At 36.4% G+C, this 10375-nt stretch overlaps 1 long non-coding RNA gene across 1 annotated transcript, besides 1 other annotated feature; it reads left to right on the top strand.

The window, feature by feature from the left end:
* Window positions 889-1389: an enhancer, noted in NCBI's record as "H3K27ac hESC enhancer chr4:76106257-76106757 (GRCh37/hg19 assembly coordinates)". NCBI's record gives its function as "activates a minimal SCP1, AML or CMV promoter by ChIP-STARR-seq in naive H9 embryonic stem cells {active_cell/tissue: H9 hESC(naive)}" and the evidence as "EXISTENCE:reporter gene assay evidence [ECO:0000049][PMID:30033119]".
* On the top strand, window positions 1140-5781 carry LOC100506253 (uncharacterized). The gene is made up of 3 exons (XR_109812.5): window positions 1140-1632; window positions 1971-2025; window positions 3546-5781. It is a non-coding gene; the product is annotated as an uncharacterized LOC100506253 (long non-coding RNA).
* The last annotated feature ends 4594 nt before the right edge of the window (window positions 5782-10375 follow it).

The following is a 10375-nucleotide window of genomic DNA, read 5'->3' as shown; positions in this document are numbered from 1 at the left end:
TTACATTTCTCTTTTTCCATGGGAACACCCAGTATTCTCAGGTTTGGTCATTTAACATAACCCCAAACTTCTTGGAGGCTTTGTTCATTTTTTAATTTTTTTTGTTTTTTTTCTTTGTTGGATTAGGTTAATTTAAAAACCTTGTCTTTGAGCTCTGACATTCTTTCTTCTGCTTGTTTGATTCTATTGCTGAGAGTTTCCAGTGCATTTTACATTTCTCTAAGTGTGTCCTTTACTTCTAGATGTTGTGATTGCTTTTTATTTATGCTATCTATTACACTGATGATTTTTCCCTTCATATCTTGTATTACTGTTTTGATTTCATTAAGTTGGACTTCACCTTTCTCTGATTCCTCCTTGATTAGCTTAATAATTGACCGTCTGAATTCTTTTTCTGGCAATTCAGGGATTTCATCTTGGTTTGGATCTATTGCTGGTGATCTTTTGGGGGTGTTAAAGAACCTTGTTTTGTCATATTACCAGAATTGTTTTTCTGGTTACTTCTCATTTGGGTAGGCTGTGTCAGAGGAAATATTTGGGGCTCAAGGGATGCTGTTCAGATTCTTCTGTCCCATGGGGTGCTCTTTTGATGTAGTGCTCTCCTCCTTTCCCTGGGGATGTGGCTTCCTGAGAGCCAAACTGGAATGATTGTTATTTCTCTTCTGGATCTAGCCACCCAGCAGAGTTGCCAGGCTCTGGCCTGGTACTAGGATTGTCTACACAGAGTCCTGTGATGTGAACCATCTTTAAGTCTCACAGCTGTAGACACCAGCACCTGCTCTGGTGGAGGTGGCAGAGGAGTGAAACAGAGTCTGTGAGCGTTCTTAGTTGTAGTTTTGTTTATTGCAGTAGTTTTGTGTTGGTTGGCCTCCAGTCAGGAGGTGGCACTTTCAAGAGGGCATTAGCTGAGGTAGTAGAGGGAGCATCAGGTGGTAGGTGGGGCCCTAGAGCTCCCAAGAGGTTAAGTCCTTTTTCTTGGGCTATCAGGGCAGGTAGATAAAGACCATCAGGTGGGGGCAGGGTTAAGCATGTCTAATTTCAGACTCTCCTTGGGCGGGTCTTACTGCAGTTACTGCGGGGGAGGGGGGGTGTGGTTCTCAGGCCAGTGGAATTCTGCCCCCGGGGGATTATGGCTGCCTCTGCTGTGTCATGCAGGCCACCAGGGAAATGGGTGAAAGCTGGCAGTTATAGGCCTCACTCAGCCCAAAAGGCTGGTTTCACTTTCACTGTGCTCCCTCAACAGCACCAAGTTTATTTCCAGGCAGTGGGTGAGCAGGGCTGAAAAGCTGCCCCAGGCTACCAGCCTCCCAGCTGAGAAAGCAAGCAGGGCTTTTAGATTTCACCTCTCCCCACCTACCATGGCTTCTGTGCTGTGATTGCACTCCTGATTCAACCCCTCCCCTGATTTCTGTCGGGGAAACTTTGCATTCGGTCGAAATTGTTACAAAGTTCAGCTGGAAGTTTCCTTCCCTGTGTGGTTTCTTCCCGGTTCCTCTGGCAGCCCTCCCCAAGGACTTCTGTAAGACAAAGTCGGAAGTTACTTCCTTGGGGACCGAGAGCCCACAGGGGTCTTCCTACTGCTTCTTCTACCCCTGTATTTCACTCAGCTCTCTAAATTTGTCTCAGCTCCAGGTAAGATCAAATCCTTTACCCGTGATCTGGAACTTCAGGTTCCCCAGTGAGAGTGTGTGTTTGGGGGCAGACAATCCCCCTTTCACACATTGGGCACTCACAGTTTTTTGGCTGTCTCCAGGCGCCCTGCAGGAGCAATCTGCTTCCTTCAAAGAGTCTGTGGGTTATCTCAGCTTTCCTGTTCTTCTTGATTTTTGAATGTGTAAGGGTAACTCTAGAATTTTTCTCATCTTTGAATAGAGGACATGAAATTTTCTCTCCATGGTCTAGGGAGAGTTATGGCTCCAGGAAAGAAGAGAAAATGTATTATATTTCCCACTTCTCTTCTATCTTTGCAGGAAGGCAGGGATTTCAACCTGGGCAACAAGTCCACAGAACATGAGATTTCTGAAGGTGAGTCACATAGAACATTGACTGGGTTGAACTCAGGTCTGGACAACAATTAAGTACTGTAAATCTCTTGGAGGATATAGGCTTATTTCTTAAGTTATTATTACATATAAATGATAATATATGTAAAAAATATATAAATAATGATAATATATATATTTATATGTAAATGATAAAATAAAATATATATTTTATAAAATAAAAGATATATCTTTGATAAAATAAAATAAATGTAAATGATAAAATATATTTTTCAACCTAAAATTGCAATATATATAGTTGACCCTTGAGCAACACAGGTTTGAACTTCATAGGTCCACTTATAAGTGGATTCTTTTTCCATAAACGCATTGAAAAATTTTTTGGAGATTTTGACAATTAAAAAAAACAAACAAACTGCAAAGCATAGCAATATAGAAAAAATCAAGAAAAAGTATGTCATAAATGCATAAAATATATGTAGACAGTAGTCTATTTTATCACTTACTACCATAATATACACTAATCTATCATTAAAAGTTAACATTTATCAAAACTTACATACACAAACACAGACTGTATATGGTGCCATTTGTACTTGAGAGAAATGTAAACAAATAAAAAGATGTAGTGTTAAATCATAACTTCATAAAATTAACTGTAGTGCATACTATACTACTGTAATAGTTTTATAGCCACCTCTTGTTGCTATTGTGGTGAGCTCAAGTGTTACAAGTATCCACTTAAAATGCCACCTAATGCTAATCATCTCTTTGTAAGCAGTTTGTCTCTCCAGTAAATTGTGTATCACAGTAAAAAGCTGTCTCTCAAGTTTCTTGTTTATTTTTCATCATGTTTAGTACAATATAATACACCTTGAATAACACCATGGGACTCACATGAAGTGTGACTAGTGATGCTGGAAGTGCTTCCAAGAAGCAGAGAAAAGTTATGACATTACAAGCAAAAGCTCAGTTGCTTGATAAGTCCCATAGCTTGAGGATGTCAGGTGCAGTTGCCCACCATTTCAGATAGGCAATTCATCTTGTAAACAGACGACATAAACTTACAGTATTGATAAATACAATCCACTACTGCAAATTTATTTTCACATCCTTATGATTTTCTTAATAATGTTTTGTTTTTCCTATCTTACTTTATTGTAAAAATACAGTAGGTAGTATATATAACATACAAAATATATGTTAATCAACTGTTTATATTATCGGTAAGCCTTCCAGTCAACAGTAATCTATTAGTAGTTAAGTTTTGGGGGAGTCAAAATTATATACACATTTTTGACTGCACAGGGGGTCAGTGACCCTAACCTCTATGTTGTTCAAGAGCCAACTGTATATTTCTTTCTGTTATCTCTCTATAGTGAAATGCCTTTCAGTGGAGAAAATAAATAAGTATGTATATACACTGGGAAACTTATCTATACACATAGAGAGAAGTGTTTTACTAATGAGATATTCAATACTACCCAAGTTAACTCTCGTATACTACTTCTTGTAATTTTTCCTTGCTTTTTCTACTTCCAGGTGTGTGGGATACATCATGGTTACATAAAAATCCTTTCACTATAGTTCCTGCTTCCCTATCTTCAAAATGATTCCCTGAAGACTTCCGCCATGACGGTCTAAAGCCTAACCTCTGAACTGTGGATGGAAAATTGAACTCCTTGATGTGATCTCTGCACATCATGCAACCCTAAACCTAAATATATTCTCTGTGTGGGAGCCCCATTATTTTTAGTCTAATACATTTTAAGTCATCTTAAAAAATTATATTTTGTTTTCTTTTATATGGTCGATTTTACCTTGTTTTCTTTGACTATTACTTGTTGTCTTGTATGAGATTCTACTGGTCTCAAGGCTTAAACCTCACAATCTTCAGGGTCTGATGGATTTCTCTCTATTTTCTAAGTTCCCTGGGATATGTTTGATGAGTTTTTGTGGCAGAGAAGCAGAGAAAGGAGAAAGGTGATGTCTATACTACTTCCTTTTTCTCCCCAGCCACAAATGCCAGAGTCTATAAAGAGACCCTGAGAAGCAAGCTCTGTGCAGAGTCACTTCTAAGAAATACCAGGATAAAATGTAGGTGAGAGACATTTGTGTGAAAAAAGGGATGAGAGAGAGGAGGAAGGATTGAGAAAATTTTCAAGGCAGAAAGGGACCTATATCTTCTAATTTGGCAAAATGGGAGAGGTAGGTAGGAGATGGGAATGCTCTCTTATCTATCTCGCCTTTTGGATGGAGATTAATAACACAACCCAGGAGAAAGTGATCCTTAGGAAGCCCAAATGACTGAAAACAGCCCTCGAGTATACCAATTGGACAAGTTGGGGTGAAGGAGACCTAGTTATTGTAATACATAGGTAGAGATTGTGGTTGTGAGACTGTTGGGTGATTAACTCATAGATGTTCCAAAGTCATCTGTCAGCTAAAATAGCTGTCATTAGGAATGCTTGAAAGGTTTCAAAGAATACTTCAGTAGCAATGAGCATACCTAGGACCTAGATCTGGGCTTCTAAATCTCATTCTCCACTAAAAGAATCTGGGTCTCCTTGCACAAGTGGCTGATTCCAGGTCCAGGGCGTGAAAAGTACAAAGTGAACTTGGAACATTTCTGTGCCACAAAGCAAGAAAGTGATCAAAGAATAAAGGGGACATGTTGCAAAGGACCCAGGAGCTTGCTTAAAGAGGCTTCCATTACCTACATTTGAGATAATCTGAGTATCATCATGACTATTGATGATAATGGAATATAACCCAGATAACAAAATAAAAATCTGTAAGTCCATACTAATGTAAGTAAATAAATGAGGAAATAAATGATGGAGAAGTGAACTCTTTTCCTTATAGTAGAATCCCAAAGAATAAAGATAGAGAAAATGATGGACTTGGAAAATCACCATTTGGCAGTCCCTATAGTAATAATTGTTTCAGGTAAAAATAAACAGATTCGAAAATCAGAGTATGATGAAAACCAGGATACTTAATATACATTGTCTCAAAGTATATCTCTACAACATATTTATTAATTTCAAAGAAAAAACTTTCTTTACATTGGATAAACCTGATAGAAATCACCTCGACTATATGATCAAAGTTCACATCACCAATAATGGGACACATAGACATCATGTGCTTCCTGAGAAGGACATAACAACATTTCTATGATATTTCTGTCAAAAATGCATAATCTGAATCTAATCATGAAGGGGTAATCAGACTAACCCAAATCAAAGGTTTGTCTACACAATAACTAGTTTGAATTATTCAAATACTGAGATCATGAAATAAAAGAAAGAATGAACTGTTTCAGATTAAAGAAGAACAAACAGACATGACAACCAAATGTAACTTGTGATTCTGGATTTATCCCTGGACAATGTAAAGCACATTAGTGGGGCAACTGGCAAAATCTGCATATGTAATTTGTCTACAAATTGTCCACAAATTGGATAATAGTTTTGGTATTGGTAATGGTAATGATATTATATCAGTGTTAATTGTCTGATTTTGGTAATTGCACTGTGATTATTGAAGAGAATATCATGATTTTTAGAAACTACAACTGCAGTATGTAAAGCTAAAGAAATATTCTGTCTGAAATTTGCTCTCTGGGACCTATATCTTCTAATTTGGTGAAATAGGTAGGAGAGGTATGTAGGAGGAATTTGTTTTAGGAAACAAATTGTATATCTTTGTATATGTGAATGACAAAGAAAGTGTGATAAAATGATAATACTAGAGGAATACTTGAGATGCACATGGAAATTCTTTATATTATTATTACAACTTTCCTGGAAGTATAAAAGTATTCCAAAATTAAAAACTGCCCCATGTCTTAGTCTGTTTTCTGTCGCTATAGCAGAGTACCACACACTGGGTAATTTACAAATAATGGAAGTTTATTTGACTCATAGTTCTGGAGGCTGGAAAGTCCAAGATCAAGGGGCAGCATCTGGTGAAGGCTTTCTTGCTGTGTCATAACATGGTGGAAAGCATCACATGGAGAGGAAGGACAGGGGAGGGTTAAAGCATGCATGAGACAGAGAGAAAAGGAAGACTGAGCTTCTGAGTTAGCTAACTCACTTTGTCAATAATAGCATTAATCCATTGTGGGCTTCGCCCTCATGGCCTAGTCACCTCTTAAAGATCCCACTTCTTAATGTCATCACAATGGCAATTAAAGTTCAACAGGAGTTTTAAAGGGAACATTCAAACCATAGCACCTTATAAAGACTTTACAGAGGCAGGTTTAAAAGTATGTGTCAGCTTTGAGGTAAGATAGTTTTGCATGAGTTTGGGCAGGAGAATATGGGGACAGGTTAAGCTTTGGAGCCTTGCCTCCTGGAGAAAATTACATTATATTTATTTTGTAATCAAAAGCCAAATGAGTTTTTAAAAGAGTAAAATTTACCCTTCAAGTTTAACAACAACAAAAATATCAGGTTTAACAATGTGAATATAGGATGAAAGTGATTTTGAAATGTAAAAACAGTTAGAAGGCATATCTGTGTTCAAAGTGAGTTCTAATACTAGAAACCAGATGTATGCATCCTCTTACTGCCATTACTATGATGTTGTCTAAGGCCTGGAGAGTCAGACAGAGGGATACACAGAATTAAATCAAACGTCATTTAAATATCTATAAGATTTGTCATGGGAACCTACAGCAAGACTGAAAGGTGATCAGAATGGAACCAGGCAGTAACTGAATTAGTAAAATTTAATAAATCACTCAGATTGTCTCAGTGAGGATATTGCAGGCTTAAACCAGTTTGAAGAAATAGAAAATGTGTAACTTGAATTCTGGGGGCCATAAAACTGACTTATTTGGAGGGCATGGGCTTGTATTCCCTAATGGCAGAGTGACTCCATAGGAGAGTTCCTCTTACTTATTAGTGGCCTATGGAGAGTCAGCCTGGCCAAAGCCTCTGGCCAGTGAGAAACCTGAGCATGCCAAGACAGTCACCACAATTCATTTGAGATGATAAACTTTAACTTGCTTTCTTTAGTAAACAAAATTTGTTTTACAAAAGGGAAGCATCGATTAATCTTAGAGATAATGACTTGAACCCACAATATTAATATTTTTCTATTAATTTAACTATAATGGGCACATTTGGATTTAAAGAGAATTGGATGTATTGTAAACATATATCCTTGTGATTCCAAGTTAAAATATGTAGTTTAGTAACTTATTTGATTTACAATTCTTAATTTGAAATGCATAAGATATTTTACTAAGTTTATCGTGTTGATTATTTAAGAGAGCTTAGAATTCACCGAATTTTAAGTTTGGTATATTGAATTCAGTTAAATATTTAAGTGGTTCAAAAAATTTTCCTGGTAGTAACATTAAAAAAAAGCGTGGCCAGGCGCGGTGGCTCATGCCTGTAATCCCAGCACTTTGGGAGGCTGAGGTCAGTGGATCATGAGGTCAGGAGATCGAGACCATCCTGGCTAACACGGTGAAACCCTGTCTCTACTAAAAATACAAAAAAATTAGCCATATATATATATATATATATATATATATATATATATGTATATATATATATATATATAGTGAGATATATATATAGTGAGATATATATATATAGTGAGATATATATATATATCACTATATAGTGAGATATATATAGTGATATATATATATAATTTAAAAAGATAATTTAATCAAATATATAAATGTAATAAAAATGTCTAAGGGATCTTAAGTTTATAAAAGAAACCAAACAAATTCACCTGATCAAAGATTAATGAAATATTTGATTTGAGTTCTTGAGGGTAATTGTTAGAATTTGCTATTTTAATAAATAGAATAAAACTTGTAAATGGAAATTAAAAGCTTAAGGAAAACAATATCTTTGAGTTGATAATGTTTAATAAATGGGATATTAATTAGAAAAAAAAACCTGAATTAAAGCAGCAACTCAAAAACACAAACAAAACATGTTGATACCTACAGTAAATCTCAGATAAATGTATTTGAGAAAATTTATTTTTAAAATGGAAAGCAAAATTATAGACAAACCATGAACAACAGTGAACTAAAATACCCACTAGGATATTTAAAGCTATATGCTGTATACCAAATGCTCAAAAGAAATTTGCTATTGGTGAAGCAAGCTATACAGTACATGTACAATGTATGTAAATGCATCTTTCCTTTTTCAAACCTATGTTTTATCTCTAATTAGTTACATTATGGGACATAAACAAGGAAGAAATAAGAGTACAAAACAGATATAATACAGTTGATCATGGTATCCGTAGGTTTTGCATCTGTGGATCCAACCAACAATGCATCAAAAATATTCAGAAAAAAAAACTAATAAAAAATAACAATATGACAATAAAAATAATACAAATTAAAAAATAATATAGTGTAACTACTATGTTGTAGCATTTACACTGTAGTCAGTATTTTAAGTAATCTAAAGATGATTTAAAGTATATGAGAGGATGTGTGTAGGTTATATGCAAATTTATACACACCACTTTATATAAGAGACTTGAGAATTCATGAATTTTGGGTTCAAGGGCCCTGGAACCAATCTTCCATTCAGTTACCAAGGGGTGACTACATATCACCATCATTTAGAATTGTAGAATTTTGGCAATAGATAAGCTAAATAGAAATCAAGAAAATTGACACCAGGTAAAAACTTTGGTAAAGTCCTATATGAAATTAATATAGAACGTCTGGAGAAAAATTATTTTTTGGCAATGAAGTCGCTGCTTTTACATGAAGCAAAGAAAAACACAGCTTTAAGGTAAAATGTATACATTTTTGAGCATGCACTTTAGAAAGGAAAACAAAAAGAGATTAGAATGAAGGGAACATAACATCTCTCACATAAGGCTAAACATAAATTAAAGACAGAAGTAAATTTCTTTAAAAAGAACACAAAATTGGCAAGTGTATTAGAAGGTAGATTCAGCTGTGTGTAAAAGAGACTTCAAATTACTGTAGATCAAAAGTTTTATATTATATCGTACTTACATGTAGTCCAGAGATAGAGGGTCTGGGGCTGGTAGGGCTGGCTTTGCCCTGTTAGATTCTCTGGAGACCCAGGCTTATTCTCTTTTGCTGCTCCATAGCTCAAGGATATTGCTGTCATCCACATGGTCCAAGTTATCTGGCCACCATATCCACTTTTGAAGCAGTAGGTCAGAGTGGGGGAGAAAAGGGATACCTCTTCCTTTAATGACTCAATCTAGAAGTGGGATGTGTCACCTATGCTTACCTCCATTGGCCAGAACTTATGGCTACACCAAGCTGGAAGAAAGGCTAAGAAATAGTCTTTATTTTGGGGGCTGTGTGCCCTACCAAAATTCTATTGCAATGGAAAAAGATAAGAATAGTTATTGAGGAACAATTAGTAGTGTTTGTGACAGTAAGAAAACTGAGATTGAAAAAGGAAGAAAAAAACACACCTGAAGAGAGAAAGTCTCTTTGGCACACTCATCAAGACTGCTGGACTCTGAGGTCAATATTGCTAAATTTTCCTGTATTAGACCCTAGATTAGGGGTGGGGAAGAGAAGGGGATTTCTGAAGATTTTGTGGCATTACACAAGCTGTATAAGTAAAAGACTCTTAGAGACAGAATTAGCTTGTGATTCAGCTGAGAAGTGACATCTATTGTGAGAGTCATTTCTAGAAATTTACAACCACCTCTGTCTACAGGAAGCTTGGCCTGCTATACCCACAGCCTGAATGTGGGCTGGGATAAGGTCTGACACCATGGTGCTGGCTTTGGGTGTGATTCTGGGGAAAAGAAAGAAGAAGCAGTAGGTAATGTATTTTACATGATTAGAATCTTCTGAATGAGACTGACAGGAAATAAGAATGTTTCAGCATAAAAGAATCATTCCCCTGAAAGTGAGGAAGGAGTGTCTTGGAATAATGAAAACAGCAAACATTGAATGTATTTTAGGAATTGTTCAGAGGTTTTGCATGAACTCATTTCATAACAACTATGAATTAGGTAATACTATTTCTACTTTGTAGATGGGTAAAAAAAGAGTTATTAACTAATTTGCTCATAATCACACACATAATACACTATCGAAGCTGGAATTTGAACCTAGGCATTTTGGCTCCAGTATCTGTGCATATAACTGCCTAACTACTATCTCAGTAACCTTTTCTTAAGAATGGAAATTGGCCGGGCACGGTGGCTCATGCCTGTAATCCCAGAACTTTGGGAGACTGAGGTGGGTGGATCACAAGGTCAGGAGACCAGCCTGGCCAATATGGTGAAACCCCATGTCTACTAAAAATACAAAAAAGTTAGCTAGGCATGTTGGCAGGCACCTGTAGTCCCAGATACTCGGGAGGCTGAGGCAGGAG

This window comes from Homo sapiens, chromosome 4 (genome assembly GCF_000001405.40).
Source record: "Homo sapiens chromosome 4, GRCh38.p14 Primary Assembly".
Classification (NCBI taxonomy): domain Eukaryota; kingdom Metazoa; phylum Chordata; class Mammalia; order Primates; family Hominidae; genus Homo; species Homo sapiens.
The sequence above is the reverse complement of the archived record's forward strand: the minus strand, read 5'-3'. Positions and strand labels throughout refer to the sequence as shown.